General features: G+C 34.7%; 1 protein-coding gene across 2 annotated transcripts in view, besides 1 other annotated feature; it reads right to left on the bottom strand.

Annotated features, from left to right (window-relative positions):
* Positions 3,066-3,266: a silencer, noted in NCBI's record as "peak1765 fragment used in MPRA reporter construct". NCBI's record gives its function as "represses an SCP1 promoter by STARR-seq MPRAs in K562 erythroleukemia cells {active_cell/tissue: K562}" and the evidence as "EXISTENCE:reporter gene assay evidence [ECO:0000049][PMID:32103011]".
* The window catches only part of LEMD3 (LEM domain containing 3), a 78,773-nt gene continuing 55,676 nt past the window's right edge, over positions 4,287-27,383 (bottom strand). For both annotated transcript variants that reach the window (NM_014319.5, NM_001167614.2), the window contains exons 5-13: positions 14,061-14,140; positions 13,828-13,973; positions 12,612-12,713; positions 12,404-12,506; positions 11,555-11,733; positions 9,173-9,254; positions 6,868-6,973; positions 6,703-6,781; positions 4,287-6,480 (exon numbers count right to left, since the gene is read on the bottom strand). In NM_014319.5, the coding sequence (NP_055134.2) occupies positions 6,317-6,480; positions 6,703-6,781; positions 6,868-6,973; positions 9,173-9,254; positions 11,555-11,733; positions 12,404-12,506; positions 12,612-12,713; positions 13,828-13,973; positions 14,061-14,140 (1,041 nt within the window). In that variant the 3' untranslated portion in view covers positions 4,287-6,316. The remainder of the gene's footprint in view (positions 6,481-6,702; positions 6,782-6,867; positions 6,974-9,172; positions 9,255-11,554; positions 11,734-12,403; positions 12,507-12,611; positions 12,714-13,827; positions 13,974-14,060; positions 14,141-27,383) is intronic.

The raw sequence follows: 27,383 nt of genomic DNA, 5'->3' as shown, positions 1-27,383 counted from the left end.
TCAGTTCAGCTGGAGCACAGGTAGATGGGTGAGGACTGGGATTTGGCTAGAAAGGTACAGGTTGGTTTAGACTTGTACTCATGGTAGCCACTGTCTATATGTGGCTATTGGCTACATGTGGGTAGTACAACTGAAGGACTGAAGTTTTGATTAATTCTAATTAATTTAAATTTGAATTTAAATTTTAAAACTTTTAAGTATTTGGGAAGAACTTGGGTATGTGAATCTACTGTTTCAACTGTAGGTTTTATATCTCAATATAGATCAAGTATTTCCAATTAAAATGTCAAATCTGATTAAGATAGGCTGTAAATAAGGTGCCCACTGTATAGCTTTTAGCACTTAAGTCATATATCCCAGGGTCACCTTAGCTATAATATATACTCCAGATTTTGAAGTATGTAAAATAACATTTTTATGACAGGTTCAGATAATCTGAATATGTAAGGTTAAACATCCAAAAAATAATTTTACCCATTTTATACTTTTTTTAGTGTGGCCATTAGAATTCTAACTATTAATTACACAACTGACATATTTCTCTGAAACAGCACCTGTCTAGATAAAGGCAGGCCTTGAAATCCAACTTGAATTTCACTATTATTTAGTAGAAAATAGTCACTGAAATTTTAAAATTCCACATTAGTAACTTTTTTGTTTGTTTTTGTAAAAAGTATTGCAACATTTGGAACTACAAAAATAGGACTGCCCTTTAAAAGTTGTATTTTTAAATCACTTCAACAAAATGAAGTCACCAAAAAAAAAAAAAAAAAAAAAAGGAAAAGAAAAAGAAAAAGCCTTTCAGGCCAAATGACTTGACTACAGTTACACAGGCTGTCTAACATAAAGCCTAAAACAAGTTTCTAGTTTTGAGTGTAAAACAAACCATTTAAGAAGAGTTCAAAAGTTGACAAAAGTCAACTTTAGCATGTATTCCTTCTTTTGACAGCCGCAGGTTTCTAGATCTATACAAAATCTCAGTTTTCTACAAACTAGGAGAATTTCTAATCAATATCAAAGAATCACAGACAATGGCAGAACATTTTATAAGTTAATTCTGTTTTGTGGAGAGGAGAGATCCTCAAAGACAGCCCCCTCTTGCCCTTCCTCCAACAATGTTCTGCAATAGACAAAGAGAAGACAGAAAGATTATTTTGCTTTATTTTGTCAATTATAGGACATCTTATCTAGCACCGTAACTGGCTTCTTGCTCCCCTCCTCTAGTGCAGTCAGCCCTGTGTATCCACAAGCTCTAAATCTGTGGATTAAACAAACTGCAGATAGAAAATATTCAAAAAAAATTTAAAATAATAAAAACACAGTATAACAACTATTTAGATGGCAATAACATGGTATTAGGTAATAAAAATAATCTAGAGATGATTTACAGTATATGGAAGGGTATGAGTAGACTGTATGCAATGCAAATACTATGCCATTTTATATATATGGGATTTGAGCATCTGTGGATTTTAGTGTCCATAGGGGTCCTGGAACCAATCCCCTGCAGATACCATGGAACAATTGTAATCTATAATTTGGGGAATGTCATCACCAGCCAACCAGCTACCCAAACCAGAAATGTGATAGTCATATTAGATTACACTTTAACTTCACTTCATTCAAAGACCTTCTCAAATTCTACCTTCTTAATTTAGTTCAAATTTTCCTTTCTACTTCACCCCATCCTCAATCCCCATCTAAGGGCCACACAGGTAAGTAAGGCAGAAATGGGATTAACCATTTGGACTCTCTGGGTCATCTAACCCACAGTCATGGTTCTAACTCCCAAATTGTACCTCCCTCAGACAGTTCTCAAAATATCTCAGAAATGTAGATCCCCCTTCACTTGCTAGAAACATCCACCTAAATGTTTTGTAGGCATGTCAAACTTAACATAGCCAAAACCCCAATTTATCATTTTTCCTATCCAATCTGTTCCTTACCATCTATTCCCCAAATGTTGGGATTTTAGATTTCCCATGCTAAATAATTAGATATCAGTTTCTCTGTCAATAATTAATCAAATCTTTCCCATTTTATCTTATTCTTCAAATCTTTTCTCTATTTTTCATGCCAACAAATCCTTATCATCCATTTCTCACCTAAACTCCCTTTAATAGCCAACATCCAATCTTCATGTGACCTACAAAGATGTGACCATTGCCTACCTTTCTTATCTATTGATGTCCTTATTCAGTCATAAGAAACTGCTTATGGTTTGTTGTTTTTTTGTTTCGAGACAGAGTCTTGCTCACCAAGGCTGGAGTGAAGTAGTGCAATCTTGGCCCACTGCAACCTCCACCTCCCACATTCAAGCAATTCTCATGCCTGAACCTCCTGAGTAGCTGGGGCTACAGGTGCATGCCACCATGCCTGGCTAATTTTTTTTGTATTTTTAGTAGAGACGGGGTTTCGCCATGTTGGCCAACTGATTTTTTATTTAGATATGGAGTCTCATTCTGTCACTCAAGCTGGAGCTCAGTGGCATGATCATAGCTTACTGCAGCATTGAACTTGTGGGCTCAAGCAATCCTCCCACCTCAGCCTCCCAAGTAGATGGGGACAAGTGTGTGCCACCTCGCCCAGCTACCTCTTTTTCTCATTTAGAGATGGGTCTAAATGTTGCCCAAGGCTGGTCTTAAACTCCAGGCCTCAAGCGATCCTCCCATCTCAGCCTCTTAACTAAACTAGTTGGGATTACACGCGTGAGCCACCACACCCAGTTCTGCTTTTAGTTTATGCATAAACTGGGTTGTTTCTCATCAATCTTTGTTCATGTGCTCTCTATACCTATATTGCCCTCTTTCCAGTTTCAGGAGCATTCTCAGGTCTCCAATGTCTACGCATGAAAGAAAAAGTAAATCTGAGTTACACAGGCTCTACTGGTTTTAAACTCTAAGAATCAATAAAATGCATATATCTTGTTGCCCCTAGTAGAGGTTCTCAGGCATAGAAAACCACCATGAGAATGCATTTCTAGCCATAACGTTTAACCAATGGGATTTAAAGGTCAAGAGCATTCTGGACACTCAGTTTATTCTTAAAGGTCAAGAGCATTCTGGACATTCAGCACAACCTCTGGTTCCTAATCATCTCAGTTCTTAAGTATCTGTTCTTCAGCATCCTTCCTAAAAGAGTGATTGCCAAAATTCTGATTGATTTAGCACCCTGTGTGAGTCATCTGGAAAAAGTGACTTGACAAGGTAAGTCTAGGAAAAAAAAAAAAAAGGCAAAAAAGCCATGTAGGGGACTTACAATAATGTGATGTCAACAGGAGCAGGGAGGAAGAACTGCAAGGTAAATCTTATTAAGGGAAATGTTCTGGGCACATGACACATCAAACCACAGTTCACTTGGAAATCGTAACTTGCCATTCAAACTGTGAATACAAGGAAAATATAACAAAACCCAACATCAGCCTTCAATATTCACAAGATATTCATGAATCTACATACCAATGAGTATTCATTTTGTAATTACACAGATCACACACATTCATTTTCATGAGCTCATCACAGTAATAGAAGCTCTCCTGAGAGCTCAAGGGAAAGGGAAATTTTATCATTGTATCTATACTAATTAAGAGGTAGTAAGTGTTCAACTGAATTAAAATAGGGCTCAGCTGTTGCCTCACCTGCCCTGAGGTCTTCTCTCTATATTAAGATGCATAAGGTGCCTTTCTTTACTCCCAGAGTTCCTCTGCCTGTTTTGCTCTCACTGTACTTTCCACATTATCTTTTATCTGCTCTGTGTTCTTCCTCTAGACTGTGACCATCTTGAGGATTCGGTCATGTGTTTTTCATCTTTGTATCCCTAACACATAACAGTACTTGGCATTTGTTAGTAATCAATAAGTGTACCACATGACTGACTAGTCTTCTTTTTACTTAACATATCAAAAAGTCTAAACCAATGCTATGTAAAGTAACTAGCCTATGAACTGTTAATAGTTTATAATGCAATAGAATTCAAGTCAGAATGTTAAAAGAAAAAGAAATGCTTCCTTTTTAAGAAAGTCTTGCTGTGAAAAAGTATCTAGCAGAACTAATGCTTTGTGATGTAGCTGATTGACATTCTTGCCCCATTTTGGTTCAAATACTTGAAAGTTGGATGAAGACATTTTCATAAGGAAAAATAAAATGCTGAGGGGAAGGATAGTTAAAATTAACTTTATGGTCTTCATTCATCTTTATAAGCACAAATATTCAGGCTGTCAAACATTTAAACTAAAGACACCTATTTTCACTGGTAAAAAAATAAATACAGACACAGGGCACTTAAAATGTTTTTAAAAAGCCAAGACACATAAAAAAAAACTAATAAATTTTTAATTAGAATTTTTTCCTTTTTTTAACAGGACAAGTAACAGATTACATCAAACTTCAGAACTTCTCAAATACCTAGTTATTATACACATTCCCATCTGTCTTGCAGGGAGGGATCTTGGTCGGCTTAACAGTTTCAGGTAAAATAAGCTGCATAATAGTATATATTACAATAATAAATGTACAATGTTTACATGAAATATGTTTTAGAAGCAAGAAAAAGATGCATCTGCATCAAAGGCGACCTTTTAAAATGCCACAACTATTTTTTACATTCACTCTTGCAACAGGTTACAAGATGGGGGTCACTAAGCTCAGATAAATCACTATGATGCACATAAAATACAGGAAGACTGGTTACTTTATATATTATATATATTTATATTTTCACACGTTAGCATCTGAGACATAAACTGAGAATTTAAAATTTATTCTCTTCAGATAACAAATCATTTTTTATTCTTCATAAACAAGGTGCCCACAAAAGCACACAGGTAAGGCACAATAGGGCTTTCTGTTACAGAATAGTGTGCATCATGTTTACTTAACCAGAAAACGTGCATTATCTGTGCAAGTTCATGCTGCAAACCCAACGCATACAATAAAACAAAAAGGAAACTGAGCTTTAAATACAACCAAAATTTGTACAATTCCAGCTGTTTCACATATTCATTTGGACTGACAATTATATATCAACAGGTTATTTTTAAAAAGCCAATTGTAGATTACAAGTAAAATTTACTCAGCAACTATTTTTATCTGAAATCATAAACAGTAATAAAGTAAGTTTACTGAAACAAATTAAATACTGAGGCACAAAGCAACAGTCAATCGTGCATTTACTATATTGCAAACTTTCATGACCCAAAATTGCAAGTATAATTTGTCAAATACACATTTTGCTGCAACAATGTGCCCTGCTTTAAACTTGACATATAACAGAGGCACTAACATATCATTAAATTATAAATAGATTGGGAAAATGACTTAACCCCAATGGTACTATGTCATGGCCCTAGTATTTATAATAAATACAGCTTTTCACAAAATATTTTTCCAATATCTGCCAATTTCTTCTTTATTGCTCACATAAATTTGACTCTATTACAACTGGTATCAGAACTTTCACACAAAATCATACTCAGACATTTTTATATAAAACCTATAAAAGATATTTTAAACTTGTATCTAATACTTCCAGGTGTTTGGCTGTTTGATCTATGCAAAAGTACAGCCATATGTATATATCTCTGTGTGTGTATATATATACATCTATATATACACACACATACACACATACATATATACACACACATTAGATTATGAATAAAATGGAAAGCTTATTTTACTGCTTTAATGCAGACATCCTCATAAAACAAGACTACTTTCACCACCACCAGCATTTATACATATATACAAAGCCAGTTTAAGTACATATACATCCACTTACACATATTTGTAACCACTAAGCCCAAATTAATTTTCCCATATTCCAGCCGTAGCAAATGAATCGCTTATAAGCAACAGAAACCTAAGGTTAAATTGGGAAATCAACAGTTTTACCACATTAGCCTGTAGGAACTATGCAGGTGACTGTATACAAAAATTCACAACATTAGTTCACAAGAAATTATGGGACTACAAGAAGCCTTTTCATCATGCTTTTGTGTGGTTATCCAAACACTTCTTGGGGCAAAAATACAACCACCACATCTGAAAATGCTTAATAAAGTCAGTGTTCCTCATGCAAAACTTTAAATGTATTGGCTTAACTGAGCTCCAAAAACTGAATGAAATAATTATCCTACCTACTCAGCATTGCTGCCTCACTGCTAAATCCCTTTGGAACCTTAAGACTTCTGGAACGTTCAGAGATGTATTCATCAATAAAAATATTACATACAAAAAGCATTTAAAAAGGAAGACAAAAAGCCAAACAGGAATTTTCCTATTGTAAATAACAGTCTTAGAAATGGAAGAAAATCTTTTCAGGAACTTCCTTGAGAATTGGTTAGGCCAGTCCGAAGACGAAGATGAGACATGGAGTTCATATGTTTATTTGATGGCTTCAATGGAGTGTTGGAAGTGAGAGCCTGGGGAAAGCGATGGTGGTATCTATCTAGTCGTAAATATTTTACTGTAACCAATTTCCCTGTTGTAAGATAAAAATAATATTTTAGATCAGTAAAACTGTTTAATATTTGCAGAAAATTAACTGTGGTAAAAGACATATGAGCACAAAACATAAATAAAGTCATCTAAAATTATTACTCAAAAAAATGCTAACCTAAATTCTTTTATTTGAAATCTGGTATAGTTTAAAATTAAACTATAACTATCTTTTCAAAATGTTTGTAGTACTCAAATTTCTTACCATCAAACCAAGAGCCATGCAATGCTTTAAAAGCCTTTCCAGCATATTCTGGAGACAGACATTTAACATATACACAACCCTGTGATATTAAAAAAGAAAGAAAATAGTCTTAGTTTAATAGCAACAAATCCAAAACATGAAATTCAATACCAAAAGTTACTTTACCTCACGTGAATTTTTGTCTACTGCAATGTGAACAATGCCATCATTATCACTGCATTTTTCTAAAATTGCTTCTTGAATTGCCAAATGCCACTGATCCCCTATTTCCCTAAAAGTTAATGAAAACAAAAATCAACAACCATATTCCTACTCGGTAAAAATTCTTCACTGTCTCTTACAACATATATATATTACTAGAATTGGTATAGTTTTAAAACCACATACGATTTTAATTGGTATTAAGTAAATGCTTGTTGACTAACAGGAGGTAGATTTAAAAATTACAATTCAGAAGTCTCAGCCCTCCTCCCACTTTCCAGTAAAAGAGTGCAGAGCGCTGGCCAGGCGCGGTGGCTCATGCCTGTAATCCCAGCACTTTGAGAGGCCGAGGCAGGCGGATCATGAGGTCAGGAGATCGAGACCATCCTGACTAACACGGTGAAACCCCGTCTCTACTAAAAATACAAAAAAAAAAAAAAATTAGCCAGGCGTGGTGGCAGGTGTCTGTAGTCCCAGCTACTCGGGAGGCTGAGGCAGGAGAATGGCGTGAACCTGGGAGGCAGAGCTTGCAGTGAGCCGAGATCACGCCACTGCACTCAACCCTGGGCAACAGAGTGAGACTCCGTCTCAAAAAAAAAAAAAAAAGAGTGCAGAGAGCTGAGGCAATGAAAGACTAGCCCACCGCTGCAGAATAAATGGATTGGGTCATTCCTATGTTTAAAAATCCTGTGTACTTACAGTAATTTCTGTTTTCTTTCTATTGTTAATAAGTACTTTAAATGAGTTGTGAACTTATTAAAGTTGTAAAAGTTAAATGTTAGTTATTTGAGACAGGGTCTCGCTTTGTCACCCAGGCTGGAGTGCAGTGGCGTGATCTCGGCTCACTGCAATATGTGCCTCCCAGGCTCAAACCATTCTCCCACCTCAGCCTCCCAGATAGCTGGGACTACAGGCACACACCACCAATTCTGGCTAATTTCTTTTGTATTTTTTGTAGAGACGGGGTTTTGCCACATTGCCCAGGCTGGTCTCGAACTCCTGAGTTCAAGTGATCCACCCACCTCGGCTTCCCAAAGCACTGGGATTATAGGTGTGAGCCACTGTGCCCAGCCGAATGTTATTTTCTTTAATTGTAATGATAGGTTCAAATTCCTAAAGAAAATTCTTAGTAAATACTACATTTGAGCTTCTCTTTTCCAAAATAATTGATACAGGACTAACATTTTGTACAGTCACCTTACTATAATGACAGTTTTAAGGTGTTTCTGCTGTAGTAAGGGACATTTGTCTTGCTTGTGAGACAAAGATGGCAGGAGAGAGAGGAAAGTGACTTCACTTCAAATCACAAATTTTCATCTTAGGTAATAAAATAGTGGACTTGCCAATTCCTAAGGCATGAGGTAAGATTCCCAACAGAGGTATCATCACACTACTAATTGTTTCTATCTCTGCAAAATAGAGGCGGTGTTTGTCTCTGTGTGTGTGGGGGGGGTGTGTGTGTGTGTGTGTGCGCGTGCCCACGTGCAAACACGTGTGCATACTGCTTCCTCACATTTCCAATTTTGCTGTCACTTATTTGGAATTTCATCAATGAGTGATTAGATGAGACTTTGGGGGTATTGTATACATATTGTAATTGCCACTGTTGGGACTTTTAAAACAAACAGAATTTGATCTGTACTATCACTGGATAGATAAGCAGTGCCCTCAGGAAGCTAATTCTAAGAACTATTACAGCTTATATATGAAATACTGTGAATTCTAAGGCAGTCACTTTTGACTGTGCTATTCTCTGGAAGCATATGTTGTTGGAATTATAAAGTCTGAAAAGTTCTTCAAATATTATATTGACAAGTGGAGACAGGACTTTGTAGAGAAGCAGGTATATACATCTTTGTAGGAAACTTTTTACAATTTGAGATTTGAAATTTGTAAGCAGCAGTGATTGTATCTATATTTTCTACTGAGGCAAAAATATTGACAGTCATGTATAATGACTTACACATTTAATAAAGGGTACTCTTTGTCATTGTGAGTCATTAATTTGCCTCAAGCATTTATCTATCTGCTATGACGATTCATAAGGAATACAAAGATTTATAAAAGTTTTACAAATCTTTATACATTAGTGTCCTTTGGCCAAATCTTTGCTTGGAATTTAATGAAAGAGAAAAACATAACATTTCTGTGGTAGAGATTCAGAAGAAAAACATTTTCAATTACAGACACACCATTATAAGAATATCATGCATTTTCCAGCCAAATATTCAGAATAAGAGTTACATGTACCCCTGATCATAATACTTACATAACGGGATCAAACATATTCCGAATCTTTAGACACGGTGTCAAACTATTTGGTGGTGAATTTCTTCTATCTAAATGAAATGCTACAAAAAACAAGTTAGTTTTACTATTTGACATTGTTCTAGTTTGTTGAAAGGTATTCAATCATTCAGTTCATTCAAAAAATATTCACTGCATGCTTTTACTAGGAGCCAGACCCCTGGTTAGATGTTAAGGTGAGTAAGACAGTCATTGCTATCAAAGAGTTTACAGTTTAATGGGAGAGACAGATGATAAAGAGTGTCATGTAAGAAAGTACAACTGTGATTAAGTCCTTAAAAAAAAAAGTACAAAAAGCTTTTTAAAAGTAACTTAACCTCATATGAGAAAATAAAACTTCCCTGAAAAAGTGAAATTTATGTGGGAACTGAAGAATAAAAATTAGCAGGGTGAAGAGAGGTGTGTAAAGGAAGATTTCAAGCAGAGGTGATTGCTTGTACACAGCTCCTGGGGCACGAAGGAGCAAATGTGGCTGGAGTAGAAAGAATAGAGATAAACCTACAGAAGATGTCAGATTATTTAAGATGATGTAGGCTACAAAAAAGTATTTGGGCATTATGGTAAGAGTAATAGCCACTCAACTGTTTTAAGGAGTAGAATAGGATGAGATCTGTCTTTTAAAACTACATATTTTAAAAATACATTGTTATGTGGAGACTCAGGTAAAAGCAGAAGTGAATGCAAGATGACCAGTTAGAAGGTTATTATTATATTATAGTTGTCTAAGAAGGAGAGGATAATGATGTGGGTAAGACAGGCCAACAGTGCAAGTGACAAGCGGATAGAATCAGGACATATTATGGAGTAGATATGACATGACCTGTTGAAAGGTTGGACAAAGAGGGATAAAGGAGAGATTAAGAATTATCCCTAAGTTTATGGCAGAATCAACTCAGGAAAGGTATCATTAACTAGACTAGGAACACTGAAGAGGATCAGGCTGGTGTACATGTTGAATCTGTGGTGCCCACCTCCTAGTACAGAAATATATAGTTGGGTACAAAAATCTGAAAACCAGACTTCATTCAAAATAAAAAATTTGGGAGTTATCCCAATATGGTAAATTAAGTCACAGCAAGACGATTATCTAGGGAGAAATGGCAGAGTGGGAAAAAAAAGATGGCCTTGAGAAACTCTAACACCTAGAGGTGAAGAAAAAGAGGATAATCTAGAAAAGGACTGAAGAAAAAGTCTGAGGTAGGAGAAAAAAAACAGAAGAAGGTGGCATCCCCAAATCCCAGTGAAGAAAGTTTCAAGGAGGGCTGAACTGTCAAACACTGTTAAGAGGTCAAGTAAAATAAGGAATTCTCTATTTTCAGTTTATAGGGAAACTGAAATGCATGCATCATTTAGAGGAAATAGTATAATCATTGGCAACATGAAAGCATCATTTTTTTAATTTAAGTTCTGGGATACATGTACAGGACATGCAGATTTGTTACATAGGTAAACGTGTGTCATAGTGGTTTGCTGCACCTATCAACTCAAACCCATCACCCAGGTATTAAGCCCTGCCTGCTTTAGCTGTTTACCCTGACAGAGCATCACTTTTATGCCATGTTTAAAGAAGCCTCTTATTCAAGCTTTTTCAAAGTGAAAATTAATTGGAGAATAAAAAAGGAGTGACTGGACTTTGTATTGCATGTCCAAAACAACTTACCTTTTCCACAAATACTATGTTTAGCAAATACTGACATACTTTTATAGGGAAAAAGTCATAATTTTCTGATGCATTGTTTTCTGCTTTTCTGTGTAGTAAAGGTTTGGGTACATATGACAGCCAATCTTCAAAACCCCCTATAAACTTACCCCTTTCTTATTTATACATGTTTTTGAAACTATGTAGGCATTAAGAAAAATATGGAAAGATACCCACAAAAGTTACTTGGCAGGAGGAATATATAAATAGAAAGGTCTTAGTAAGAGGAGGCAGGCAAAAACTGGAAAAAAAAGAGCAGTTAAAAAGTTATGACTTCACTTATATACATATATAGTTTATATATATTTTATTGTATATATAACATAAATTATGTGTCTTATTTACATAAAGAAATTAGATGAAAAGAATGCAGTTAATATATATAATACTAAGTTGCTTCATTAAGTGAAAAAGGCAAGATTCAAGGAATATTCATCTTTATTAAAGATAAACCATTTATGTTTGCATTAGCAAAGATAAAAGTGTGGAAGGATACATAAGAAGCTAACACTGATTCCTTCTACGAAACAGAACGAGAGAGTTTTGCCTTCATACATCTTTGAATTGTACTGTTTCACTTAACACATATTTGTCATTTTGAAAAATTAGAAGAAAATTACTTTTTTGATGTTTAAAAATACATACCTTGACCTTGCCATACTTTAGAAGGTATAACTAATATTTTGTCACAGGATGCAGAAGGCTGGATCCACCGCCAAACCAGAAAATCTGCACCACCTATTCTTCGTGTTTCCGTGCGAACTCTAGACTCATTAGCAGCAAGGAAGTCAACAGCTCTATCCCAGACTTTCTTCATTTTTTTCCTATCATGTGAACAAAATGGCAAATTTACTATCATCTTGGCTTGTCATCTTTTTGAAATATTAGTATCTGAGGTAATAGTTAACTCTAGCTGTTCTTACCACTACTCATGGAGTTTGTTCAAAGAAGATTTAGATGCCTATATCTCATCTCAGATTTTCTGAGTTTCAATTTCCAGAGCTAGAGCACAAACATCTGTATTTTTTTTCCCCAAAAGCTCCACTGGCTTTATGTGTTGCTAGGGTCAAGATGCTGCTTCAGGATATGGAATTATCTTTTATTTTCAAAAAGTTGCATTTTAGTTTTTACTTTAAAAGCTTCATTAATAATAAAGTTAGTACTTAAAAAACATTAGTAAAACACCAGCCACTGGCTGTCATCTATTTCTTTATCAAGATGAAATTAAAGGAAATAAGATGGAGACTAACAACAAAGAATCAAGAATGCCTAGGAATGAGAATGACTTAGAAATCCAGGTGTCACTCAAAATCAGGAGAATGGAAGAGAATTTAGAAAGAGAGTATAAAGTACAAAAACAAAGCAAAACCAAAAAAAACCTGTGCAGTAAGCAAGTCTAGTTGAGAAGGGTCACAGCTCTCAATATAATTTTCAATACTGCAGAAAGCACTTAAATTTTCTGATTTACTTGAACTCATAATGCTTTGAACACACCTGTCATGAGGCTGTATTAAGGAATCGCGTACATGTGGAATAGGCATGTAAGGTTGTAAATCTTTGTTTTCCTGGCAGGCTTCATTATGACTTCGTAAAACATCTAAAAATAAATAAAATTTACAAATGAATCAATCACTTGACATAATGTAGTTTAATCATGCAATGACTCTTCTAGAAATAGTTGAGATTCTTACAAATATCATACCTATAATCTTTACCACCATATCATACATCTGCCTTGTTTCCTCCTCTTCTTTTGTCCATCGATATTTCATGTAACGCAGAACGACACAAACCATCACTACACCTGTAATATTAATATACTTTGTATTTTAAAAATTGTGGTCAATATCATTCAATAATATTTCAGTGATTATTTTAACTGCCACAACGGAATGAACCTTCAAGACAGATGGCTGAATTAGCTATATAATTAAAACTACATAAAAAAATTTAATACTGAACATTTTCCAAAGATTCACTTTCTAGAAAAAAGCATTTCTTCCATTACACTGATAAGTGAACATTTAAATTCTAACTACTATTTAAAAATATATATATATAACTATGTTTCACAAACTTTTTTCCTTTGAAGCATAAAACGACTAGAAAAGTGAACCTCATGAGATTAAACATACTAAATCTTACTTTAAGTAAAATGAATTTTTCTTTTGTTGTTGTTGTTTTTGAGATAGGGTCTTACTCTGTCATCCAGGCTGGAGGGCAGTAGTGCAATCATGGCTAACTGCAGCCTCCAACTCCTGGGCTCAAGAAATCCTCCTACCTCAGCTTCCCAAGTAGCTGGGACTACAGGCACGTGCCACTATGCCTGTCTAATTTTAAAAATTTTTTTGTAGAGGTAGGGTCTATGCTTCCCAGGCTGGTCTTAAACTCCTGAGTGCAAGCAATCCTCCTGCCTCCCAAAGTGCTGGGATTACAGGTGTGAGCCACTAAAGCTGGCCAAAATGAATTATTTTTAAAGAAGAAAGAAAGAATGAAAAAACAACTCTCACCTAAATCCCTATTATCAATTAAAAAATGATAAAAATTTTAAATGTAGGTAAATTACATTTTAAAAACTAAATTTTAATAAACTTTATAACACTTTATTATTTAAAAATAAGCTCAATTTTTGTATTTTTCAATTCTACTTTCTAAAGTAGATTTCTATGTATATACTGACCACACTTGTTTTTCTGTGACAGTCTTATAACAAAGTTTTATTTCTACCTCTCCTTATATTACTGCTTTCTAAGCCTTTAGAATGATTCTGACATTATTTTTATTATATTTAGTGAAGACATCTAGCTGTGACTTATGTGGCAACCATCACAAAAATGAATTCTCAACTCTGGCATTTAGTGAAATACACACAAAAATTCAGGCTGCAATTTATCTCATTTCTTATCTTTACAACTTACCTAAGCATAACAACAATAATCTGTGAGTTACAGTAACAAAAGCACGTCGAAAACGACACCAAAAAGACATCAGTGGTCTTGTGGACTGTAAAAACTGCACATCAGTTATATTTGTCAATTCTTCCTCAGGGCCAAAACCAACACACCTATTTAAAAATAAGTAAGGTAGAATTTAAAGTCAAAAACCATTTCTCCCAGTACAGAATGGTCAAAGTGGAAATCAGATCCTTTACCTTATTCCAACATCTTTTCCATTTTCTAAGATCCACTGCAATGAAGTGTTAAATATACCTTCATATTCAGGACCTAAATCCTAACAAGAAAAATAGAGAAAAATAACTATTCTTAATCTACATTCGACTCTCTGTAAAGTATCCTTTATAACACACTCTATATAACATTTTTATTTTAACTACATAACATAAAATATTCATTACAGAAAATTTTAAAAAGAATGAGAAAAAAGAAAAAAAAAGTTAGCATTTTCCCACTACTCCAATATAATCAGTGTTAATATTTTGCTTTTTTATATTTTACATATTTGGGAACTGAGTCTCTCTCACTCAGGCTGGAGTGCAGTGGGACAATTTTGGCTCACTGCAGCCCCCGCCTCCTGGGTTCAAGCAATTCTCCTGCCTCAGCCTCCCAAGTAGTTGGGATTACAAGCATCAGCTACCAGGCCCAGCTAATTTTCTTTTTTCGTACTTTTAGAGAGACGAGGTTTCACCATGCTGGCCAGGCTGGACTTAAACTCCTGACCTCAAGTGATCCGCCAGCCTTGGACTCCCAAAGTGCTGGGATTACAGTCATGAGCCACTGCGCCTGGCTTGGAAGTTCTTTTTTTATCATTAGTTTATCAGTGCCATCATAAGAGTGAATTTACCACTTTTAAAAATGCAATATTATTTATAGATGAACAAATAAATGGCAAACTCTTCCAGATTTGGATGTTTCACAGACAAGTATTCTCAACACATAAAAGCAGTAAGCCTATCAACTAAAGAAAAACTGACCGGGTTACCAATTATAAGATTTGAGCATTCAAGTAAAAAGTAGAATTTTGAAAAACTAGCATTCATCTTTGTGACCTGGACAACTTCACAATACTTGAAGACCTTTCCAATGAGATTTGTGTGACATTAACAAATGCAGTTTTTTGATATGGAATAATGAAATGTGACCAATGCATCTGAAAATGACCAATGCATTTGAAAAATTCTGATTTTTATAAAAACCAATCACGCATAGGTAAAAGATCCATTCAAAGTACAAAATAAAAGGATTTTATGAGACAAGAGTACAAAAAGTTCACTGGCACAGTCTGACATTCCACATTGCAACTAACATTTAAGAAACTACTACTTATAGAGGTTTGGTATGGTATCAAAGAAAATATCTATCTACAATTACCTGAAAAGGCAACTAAAATACTTTCCAATGTTTTGACTACATATCAATGTGAGGCTGGATTTTCATGACATACTTCAACTAAAACATCATGACAGATTGAATAAAGAAGCAGATAAGAATCCAGTCACCTTTTATTAAGCTACACATTTAAGAGATTTATAAAATATATAACAATGCCACTGTTCTCATTGAATGTTTTCATTCTGGAAAAGTTATTTTTCATAAAAATACATTACGTTAACATATAATAGATTCATTTTTCTTATTCTAAATACATAAATTTTTTTCAGTTTTAATTTTTAATATAAACATGTATTTGTAATACATATTTACCATTAGAAAGTAAATATATCTTTCTAATAGAAACAAAAACATATAAATGTATATCTCCCACAAACAAAAGCCAGAGTCCTCAGTAATTATAGGGAACCAAAAAGCTTAAGAACTGCTATGTGTGGGTAGAGTATTTTTAAATTAAAATAGTAAAAATAAATGTGGTATCATATTACACATACTACTGTTCTACTTGTTTTCTTCATGGAACAAAATATTGTGTCAATGTCAGTTTACATGGAAAAAACCCTATTTTTTTCAACAAAATAGTATTCCATTGTATGATTATTCTATACTTTTAATCAACACCTTATTAATGAACATTTAGAATATGTCCAATTTTTAAAAATTTATCAAATATAATACTGTTATAAACACCTTTACCATGTGCCAAGTACTATTTTAGAAACTAGAGGTGCAGCATAAACAACACAGTGAAAAATTCCCTGTGTTCATGGAGCTTGTATTATTAGTATGTCTTTATGTCCCTTTTGAGCAAAAAATGAATTTTTTTTTTTTTTGAGACAGAGTCTTGCTCTGTCACCCAGGCTGGAGTGCAGTGGTGCGAACTCGCCTCACTGCAACCTCCATCTCCAGGGCTCAAGCACAGTCTTGTGCCTCAGCCTCCCAAGTAACTGTGATACTACAGGCGTGTGCCACCACACCCAGCTAATCACTGTATTTTTAGTAGTAGTAGAGATGGGGTTTCGCCATGTTGGCCAGGCTGGTGTCGAACTGCTGGCCTCAAGTGATCCGCCTGCCTTGGCCTCCCAAAGTGCTAGGATTACAGGCATGAGCCACTGTGCCTGGCTCGTAGAGGAAAAAATGAATTTCTAAAAACAGAAATAAAAAGTCATTTCAAATTCTCTCTAAAAAAAAGATTTTTCTAAGAAGTGTCCTATTGTATTTTATCAACAGATTCTTCAACAGCATTGGAAATTATAAGGTTTTCATTTGATCAGTATAGTTTACTTCCTAATATAAAACTGGTAAGTTATTCTAATGTATCAAATTTGCAAATGTAATAAAAAGTTTTATAAAGCAGAACTAATCTTGTTAGGCATCATTACATGAAACTACTATTAGGATTTTTAAGATGGTGAAGATAACTATAGGCCATCTGTTTTTTTAAGCTTGGGTGTTTATTATAGCATTTACAAACATCAAAAAAATTGCAGACAATGTATTTAATGATTGAAAAAAGGTTTATATATGAGATCATTTCAATGGATATTATGAACTTAGAAATAATCATGATGAGAGCTAAACAGCTATCTGCTTAAAAAAATAAAACTACAACATTTAATTTATATATACAGTCATACCTCAGTATTCACAGAGGATTGGTTCCAGGATGCCCCATGGATACCAAAATCCACAGATGTTCAAGTCCCTGATATAAAATTGCATAGTATTTGCATATAACCTATGCACATCATTCTTTATACTTTAAATCATTTCTAGATTACTTATAACACCTAATATAAATGAATATAGATAGCTGTATTTTTAAAATCTGTATTTTTTCCATTGTACTTTTTTTCTTTTTATTGCCACTAAGATTTTTGATCCACGGTTGGTTAAATCCATGGATGCAAAACCCATGTATACGTAGGGCCAACTGTATTTATAATTATAAAATATATGTACTCATATGAGTAGCACAAGAATGAGGATACAAGTGATTTTTATTTGCTTTAATATTGTTTTAAAATATTATGCAATAAAGTTACACAAAATAATTTCAGGCAATTAGTTTCAATTGTTATAAATATACTACTAGAAATCACTTTGTATATAAATGAAAATCTACAAAGCAAGATTAATATAGGTTATCAGTGTAGCTGAAGACAACATTATTGCATTTAGTCTTCTTTGTAATGTTGTCACTACCATACATTTTTAAAAAGGATTTTGTACTCATTTAGTTCTTCAAAGACACAGATGCCACATAGTACCCTTCAAATACATGCATATATTAAAAATCAATGAAATAAATGTTGTATTTACTTGTACTTATATACATGCTGTTCAGCTTGTATTGCTATGATTTGCCTAGTATCATGGCATGCTTTGCATTACTACATATAATACTGGACAAGTATAATCTAGTCTTTGAAGACCAGACTATAAACATAAGTTTCAGATAACATAAAAACAAACTCCCAAGGTTATTAGTGCAAATTTTAAATATACAAATTTTAGGAGGCTGACATTATAAATATTACTGTTCTCATCAAATATCCTTAAAAAATGTACACAATGGTTCAAATTAACAAAGACACCTACAGATCTAAAAAGCTAAGTACGAGGAGGAATGAAGGCCTTAAATCTCTTAGTTATAAAATAGTAAGGGTAAGAAAAGAGGATCTGTTGTTATTTTCCCTTTTTCTGTTTTCCTTTCCTTTATTAATATCACTTGACATCCACTCATTATCTGGAATACAAGAAAACCATGGAATGTTCATTTTATGGGTACACATTCTCAATAAACAATTGATTATTTAAAACCTCATTAAGGACTTAATGGGGTGTTGAGGTCTAAAATATGCCACTATTTCCACAAATATATATACGGCATTCTAGAGTATTAGAAAATGGAATTTTTATAAAAGCAAAAATTGAATTATTTGCTTGTGCCAAATAGTTGATGCTAATACTGTAGCATACATAGCATATACCTGATTTTAACAGTTTAAACTGTTTTATTATTCACTTTTTGTAGCCACCTGGAAAGCTGTGGGCACGGCAGGGGTTGGTCAGCTTTTTCTTTTGTCCGTAAAGGGCCAGAGAGTAAACACTTTAAGCTGTGCAGCCATATAAATTTCTTTCTTTCTTTTTTAAAAGCAAGCTTTAAAACTGTTGTAAAACCACAGCTCACAAGCCATACAAAAACAGGCAGGCTGGATCTGGCCCATAAGCCATGGCTTGCTAACCTCTAAGGTAAGGCATTCCAGCATCATAAAACAAACATTTTCCAATAACTGATGACAAAAATCAGGAAGAAACTAAGTTTTTAATTTTTAAGGCACAACTTTTATTACTATTGTTTATTACTATTTACTTATAGGCAAGAGCTCAGTCAGTATACCACTGACTGCTTCATGTAAATCTTTCTAAATTTGAAGTATATTTTCCCAAATCTTAAATCTAACACATTATGTGTGTACTCACGCATACCCCCATGAACTCTCCCAAATGTTCTTTATTTTCAAAATCGTGGGTCAAAAATGTGTACTTTAAAACCCACATCAGATGCTCTGAACTTGGATTACAGTTTCCAAGTACAAAAATAATACTGTTTCATTAAATAAGGCAACAAAACTTTAGTTAGTAAGAAGGGAAAAAGGCACTGGTATAGGGAGAAATCAAGCAAGGACTAAAAACCTAATATGGATAGTTTATGAAACTGATAATTTACACAGTAATAGCCATGCAGCCTTCCAGCTGGTGAATATTCTAGTGAACTGTGAGATGATCTACACTATGCATCAGATGGCACCTTTTAAAATTAATTAAAATATAACACACAGAAATCCACAATGCTGAACAGGATGTAACTCCTGATTCAGTAAGAATTGTATGATCTTTCACCTGCTAGAATAACAGAAAAAAACATAGTCTTTAGAATCAAGTAGACCCAGAACCAGATGCTGGCTCCATTACAGATTAGCTATATGTACAACCTTAAATGGGACAAGTGAAAAATATGCCACCTATCCAGATGTATCTACTTTGACCACTTTTTCAGATCCTAACCCTTAATAGCACCAGTCCCTTGCCCACTCAATAGCTGGAGCTAAGGATTATGAATCCACTCCATCCACTTAAGAGGCAGAACAATATATAGAAAAGAGCAAGTACTTTGGTTCTATTCCCAGTTCCATCACATAGTAGCTGGATACTCTAGTTATTAGCCCCTCTATGGTTTAGTTTCTTTATGAAATGGGTCTAATACCACCTATCTTGTTGGATCATTCTGAAATTAGAATTAACATATAGAAAGTACCACACTGTACTTTATAAACCTTAATTATTATCATAAAATTTCCCCCTCACTCCACTTCTCAGAACACTCATTTTTCCACACAGACTTTTATTAACAGTAATTAGCATTCTAGGCCATAAAAGTCTATCCAGCCCCATAATTTGACACATTTGCAGCTGTCTACTTTCCTATTATTTTCTTCACAAATCTTAAACATATTCATTGTGTTAAAGGTTAAGAAGGTTTTGAAAGCAACCTAGGAACGTAAACCCATTCATTACATTATTCCATAAAAAGTTATACAAAGTCACTACCATCTAACTTAAAAACCAATCATGTATTTTCACGGAAATATAAACTATGTATTTCTTCAATGTTCCACCAGAGGGACCTCTTAACTTTTCACAAATTAAAATAAGCTTTCAATATCAAAAACAACGAGTTTTTTAAAAAGCTCAAGAAGAGCACTGGAGTAGTTAGAAAAATAGTGTTTAAATTATTTAAATTAGTTATTAAGTTTATTTAAATTTCCTTTGAAGGAGAAAACTGGATAAAGAATTAAACATAAATAATTAAATTCAAGAAAACAAAAATATGTTACTGAGGCTTATTCACTCATTTTACTCCATCAAACATTTACTATACTCACTGTGCTTAAAATGTACTAGAAGTTGTGAAAAAATTAGCTTACACTTGTAGGGGCTCTACACATTCTTTGGTTTATTTATTCCTCAATCTAAAAACTTAAATGTGTTGCTGGTGAAACTATAGTGCAAATACATGAAAATATGTAATAGATCTCTTTCTCATAAGCAGAAGGCCCTCCATATAGATATTATAATCCTTGTTTGATATCAACTTTGTAGTGAGTTTCCTCCATATTTATGCCAGAATATGGATAAAATAACATAGAGAATTTTGGCTAGATTGTGCTAAAGCAGTCATTTTAAATTGGGAATTAATATAGCAACATATATCAAAAGCATTTTTAAAAGTTCATGCTCTTTGAACAAGTAATTTCCTTTTTAGGATTATTTCCTAAGAAATATTAGAAAATTAAATACTATATGCAAAGATTAGAGTGATTTCATAATATTGAAAAACCACAAACCAATAAAATAAAATCATACCATGAAATATTATTCAGTGATAGAAAACATTTTCAAAAATCATTCAACGGTTTTTGAAATACACACAATAATTTCAAGGGAAAGACACATGAATATTTATAGTATAAAATATTTATAATAAAGTAATATTAGCTTTAGAAAAAAATATTTATAATACTAATTAGAGGAAAATGGACCAAAATTTTACCAGTTGTTATCCTTAGGTAGTGAATTTGAAGCTTTTTTTCCTTTCATTTTCCATATGAATTAAATAATGAGTGTTATTTAATTTATTTACTTATTTTTGAGACAGGCTCTCACTCTGTCATCCAGGCTGGAGTGTAGTGGTACAATCAAGGTAATCCTCCCATCTCAGCCTCCCGAGGAGCTGGGACTACAGAGGGTCTACAGAGCCATGTGCCACCACACCTAGCTATTTAAAATTTTTTTTTTGTAGAGACAAGATCTCACTATGTTCCCCAGTCTGGTCTCCACCACCTGGGCTCACATGATCCTCCTGCCCTGGCCTCCCAAAGTGCTGAGATTATAGGTATGAGCCACTGTGCCTAGCCAATATTATTTAATTTTATGTTGAAAAAATAAGCATTATTAAAAATAGTACTTTAAGACTTTTATATAGACCTTAAAATTACATTTTTGGGGGAAAAAAATCCTGTTTAAAGCTCTCTCTGTTTTGCTTTTGACAGTACAAACTGCGTCTATGGTGGTGACAAACCACGGCAGGTTTTATAGCATTTGAAAAACATGAAAAATGAGATTCCAAAAAGAAAAGGTAACAAAAACACACATACATAAACCTAACTATAAAAAAAGAGTATTAACATTTTACATAATTCTTTAAGAATGAAATTAAATTAATCCATAATCTTATAAAAATATGCCACAGAAATTCTACTAAATTAAGACAAAACCGAATATGAAACATAAAATAACTCAAGATAAAAAAATCTTCTAAAGGCTACAGAGTTCACTGCAGAAAAAGCATTTAATACAATGTAACATCTCTTCATGATAACTCTCAACAAACTAGGTACTGAAGGACACAATAAAGGCCATATATGGCAAACCCACAGCCAACAGCATACTGAATGAGAAAAAGCTGAAAGCTTTCCCTATAGGAAATGGAACAAGACAACAGTGCCCATTCTCACCATTCTTATTTAACATAGTATTAGAAGTCCTAGCCAGAGCAATTAGGCAAGAAAAAGAAATAAAGGGCATCCAAATTGGAAAGGAGAAAAATTGTTCCTATGTGCAGATGACATGATGTTAATGTGGAACACTCTAAAAGTTCCACCAAAAACCTCTTAGAACTGATAAATAAATTAAATAAACTTGCAGGACAGAAAATCAATACTCAAAATCAGTAACATATACCAACAAAAAACTAGCAGAGAAAGAAATTAAGAAAGCAGTTCTACTTACAATAGCTACAAAAATAAATAAATGAATAAAATACCTACAATTAAATTTAACCAAGAAGGTAAAAGATATCTAAAAAAAAACCATAAAACACCATAAAAAGACATCCCATGTTCACAATTAGAAGATTATGAAAACTACACTACCAAAAATAATCTATGTATAGATTCAATGCAATCCCTATTACAATACCACTGACATTCTTCACATAAGTAGAAGAAAACAATTCTAAAGTTCATATGGAACTATGAACAGTCAAAGCAATCCTGAGCAAAAGGACAAAGCTGGATGCATCACACTATAAAACCTCAAAATACACTACAAAGCTATAGTAACCAAAACAGCATGGTACTGGCATAAAAGCAGACACACAGACCACTGGAACAGAATAAAGACCCCAGAAATAAATCCACGTATTTACAGCCAACTGATTTTCGACATAGGTGCAAAGACCATTCACTGGGGAGAGGACAGTCTCTTCACTAAATGGTGCTGTGAAAACAGGCAGAATGAAACGAGCCCCCTTATTTCTCACCATACACAAAAATCAACTCAAAATGGATTAAATAATTAAATGTAAGACCTAAAATTATTAAAGTACTAAAAGATAATACAGGAGGAACGCTTCAGGACATTAGTCTGGACAAAGGTTTTTATGGAGAAGACACAAATGCAAAAATAAATGGTGTTATAGCAAAATAAAAGATTCTGCACAGCAAAGGCAGCAACAGAGTGAAGAGATGACTAGTAGAATGGGGGACATTTGCAAACTATTCATCTGACAAGGGATTGATATCCAGAACACACAAGGAACTCAAAGGGCAAATGAGCTTAGCAGACATCTCTTAAAAGAAGACATACAAACAACCAACAGGCATATGGAAAAATGCCCAACATATGAATCATCAGGGAAATACAAATCAAAACCACAATGAGATATTCACTCACCCCAGTTAGAATTGCTAGTATCAAAAGGACAAAAAATAACAAATGCTGGCGAGGATGCAGAGAAAGGGGAACTCTTATCCACTGTTGGTGGGAATGTAAATCAGTACAGGCATTGCAGAACATAGTATGGTGGATCCTCAAAAAATTAAAAATAGAACCACCATATGATCCAGCAATCTCACTACTGGGTATATATCCAAAGGAAAGAAAATCAGTAAGTGAAAAGAGGTATCTGTACTCTCATTTATTGCCGCATTATTAACAATAATATGGAATCAACCTAAGTGCTCATTAACAGATGAATAAAGAAAATGTGGTATATATACAATGGAATACTATTCAGCCATAATAAAGAATAAAATTATGTGATTCACATCAACACCGATGCACTTGAAGAACATTATGTTAAGTGAAATAAGCCAACCACAGAAAGACAAATACCATATATTCTCACTTGTGGAAGACAAATGAGTTAGAAGTCCAAGTTAAGGACTACTAAGAACTTGGCTTATTTTACCTTTGGGGAAACTAAAAAGTTGATCTCATGGAGGTAGAAGAGAATAGTGGTTACTAGAGGCTAGAAAGTGGCAAAGTGGCAGGTGGAGGGTCTGTAGCCAGAGGTTGGTTAAATGAAATTATAACTAGGTAGGAGGAATAAATTCTAGTGTTCTATAACACTGCAAGGCAACTATAATTAACAATTTATTATATATTTTCAAATAGCTAAAAGAGCAAATTTTGAATGTTCCCAACACAAAGAAATGATAAATGTTTGAGGTGATGGCTCATTTATCCTGACTGTATCATTACACATTGTATACATGTATCAAAATATCACACTATACCCCATAAATATGTACAATTATGTCAATTAAAAATAATAAAAGTGGCCAGGCACGGTGGCTCACGCCTGTAATCCCAGCACCCTGGGAGGCTGAGGCGGGCAGATGACGAGGTCAGGAGATCGAGACCATCCTGGCTAACATGGTGAAACCCTGTCTCTACTAAACATACAAAAAAATTAGCCAGGCGTGGTGGCAGGTGCCTGCAGTCCCAGCTATTTGGGAGGCTGAGGCAGGAGAATGGCATGAACCTGGGAAGGAGAGCTTGCGGTGAGCCGAGATCTCGCCACTGCACTCCAGCCTGGGCAACAGAGCAAGACTCCACCTCAAAAAAAAAAATAAATAAATAAATAAATAATAACAATAATAATAATAAAACACAAAAAGCTACAGTTCATTAATATCTTTTTTTAAGTAGATATAAGCAGTTTCCAATTTAACTCATGCAAGAGTGCTTCTAGTAACTTTTTTGCTGCTAGTCTTCAGTAGAATTAATCTTATACTCTATTGCTGCCTGGCTTAGACTTTGACTTACCCCAACCCCGCATCTGTGTCCCTTCTTTTTAACTTGTACCATTGCTGACCCACAGCTACAAGAAAATGGTTGGAAGAAGTGAAAGAGAGGTTAATAATTCCACACCAACCCCTGCCTCTTCCTCAGCTCCACCTTAATTACTGGTCAGGTCCTATCTTGTCCCCAGTCCCTATCCCATTTCTTCAGTCCTTCAAACACAGTACAGTCAGTCCTTTTATCCATGGGTTCCACCTCCATGGACTGAAATACTGAATAGAGTCAATATAGTCTATCATGAATCAAAAATATCTGGGAAAAAAACAGATGATTATGTCGGCATTAAATTTGTACAGTCTTTTTTTTTTTCCTTATTATACCCTAAACCAGGAGTGTCCAATCTTTTGGCTTCCCTTGGCCCCACTGGAAGAACTGTCTTGGGCCACACAAAAAATACATTAACAACAGCTGATGAGCCAAAAAAAAAAAAAAAAATCGCAAAAATTCTTATGTTTTAAGAAAGTTTACAAATTTGTGTTGGGCCGCATTCAAAGCCATCCTGGGCTGCAAGTTGGACAAGTTTGCACTAAATGATACAGTATAATAATAACTATTTACATACAATTTACATTGTATTATCAGTAATCTAGAGAAGATTTAAGGTATATAGCAGGATATGCATAGGTTATATGTAAATACTACAGTATTTTATATAAAGAACTTGAGCATCTACAAATTTTTGTGTCCATGGGGGTCCCGGAAGTAATCCCCAGATACCAAGGAAGAATTAATCCTATTTCATATGCTTTAAGAGTCTCAGCATTCTTCTGAAAAGCAATGAAACTTGCTCCAGGAATTTATGACCAATCATAACACAGATCTACGGTATTACCTCTCAGAGATCAAATCTCAGAGGTTTAACTACCTAACAAAAAGAAAACAGGAAAGAAACACTGAATGGGATAAGATAGTCCTACTACTAGAAGTGAAAACCCATTCAATTATTTTATAAGGAATAGTTTGCTTGCTTTGGATTCTCACTATGCCTTTCTTCATGGAATATTTTATTCTATGTCTCCTTTAGCCTCAATCCAATCCCTTTTTTTGCCTGCACCCTGACATTCGTCCATCCCATAACACTGAGCCCTATAATCATAACTCCTCCTTAGTCAAGATCTTTTTGAATTCTGATCCTTTAACTGTCCAGTCTATTAGCTATTACACTATCCATAAATTTTACTGTCATTAATGTTCTCATCTAGGTCAAAATTGAAAATAAAGACAATAAACAACCTTAAACAAAATTTCTGTGGCATGTTATTAGAGATTACTCGCTAGAGTGGCACTGATTTAATTAGAAAACACAGAAATTGAATTTATTGGGAAGCTACTATAATCATCAGGCACTGAGCTAGGCATTTTATATACTCAAGTCTCCCAACAACTTTGACAGGTATTAACGGCAGTCCCACATTCACAGAGAAACATGTTCAGAAAAGTTAGAGACTTTACCAAAATGTAATAGCTTCTACTGGCAGTACCAGAATTTGACTCCAGATATAATCTCCTTATTATACTGTCTTAGGATCTTTTTGGTACCTACATATAAGTCATGCATTAAGTTAAAAACTCAGTCAATATTTCTCTTTGTTGACAAGCATAATCACAGGAGACTATTACCAAAACTTTGCTGAAAGCCTTAAAACATATACTACATTCTTAATTTTTAAAAAGTGGAGGAGTGACATCAGCAGAATAGGAAGCCCCAGACCCTCCTTCCCTCAATGAGACACCGATTCAACAAAAATACATGGACCAATTCCATTTGTGAAAAATCCAGAAATTAGTTAAAAGGTTCCTGCACCTAGGCAAGCACAAAACCACCTGTATCAAAGCTGTTAGGAAAATTCATATCACTCACTTCCCAGACACTCTCATCACCCCACAGGGCAGTGCAATAGAGAGGAAACTCCCAACTCGTGGCTTCCTCCTCAGAAGGAAAACAGAAGACTAGAACATACATCTAATGATCTGACTTTTCGGGGCAACTGGTTTCTGTCATGTCTGAATCTAATAGTTGAAAGACACCAAATTAAGGACTACTAAGAACAAAGGCAACAGCACTCACTCACCATTGTCCCTACCCCCAGCTCGGCATGAAGAAAGTTGAGAAAAACCCCAACTCTTGGCTTCTCCCTGGGGAGGAAAAAAGTTAGACATGCATCCAAAGTTCTGACTTCACAGGGGCAAGGAGTGTTGCCTCGCTGGCTTCTGCCTCACCTGATTCAAAATGCGGATAGGACTCAGTATACTCCAGATGCCTGGGGGCCACTAAGAAGAAAAAAGAGCTGGGCCAGGAGCAGTGGCTCATGCCTGTAATCGCTGCACTTTGGGAGGCCAAGATAGGTGGATCACAAGGTCAGGAGATCGAGACCATCCTGGCTAACATGGTGAAACCCCGTCTCTCCTAAAAATACAAAAAATTAGCTGGGCATGGTGGCGGGCACCTGTAGTTCCAGCTACTTGGGAGGCTGAGGCAGGAGAATCGCTTGAACTAGGGAGGCAGAGGTTGCAGTGAGCTGAGATCGTGCCACTGCACTCCAGCCTGGGCAACAGAGCAAGACTCTGTCTCAAAACAAACAAACAAAAGAGTTGGATAGCTTATGGCAGCTCCAGATAATCTACAGACACCAGGGATAACCTACAGATACCAGGGATCAAAAGATTATAAACTATGAGAAAATAAACCAGCAAAACTTCTCTAATTGGAAATTCACAGGCAAAAATCCAGAGAGGTCACAACCACAACCACAGAAAAGATATCTAAGAAATCCAGAATGTCTACACAGACATATTGGTAAAAGACTTTCCCCACACAAAGTCTACAAAGGTGGCTGTTTTTTTTATTTCTGTTGTTGTTAAATGCACGAATCCCAACACAAAGTAACAAGGCACATGAAGAACCATGAAAA

This window comes from Homo sapiens, chromosome 12, assembly GCF_000001405.40.
Source record: "Homo sapiens chromosome 12, GRCh38.p14 Primary Assembly".
Taxonomy (NCBI): domain Eukaryota; kingdom Metazoa; phylum Chordata; class Mammalia; order Primates; family Hominidae; genus Homo; species Homo sapiens.
This window is presented reverse-complemented; position numbering and strand designations above follow the sequence as displayed.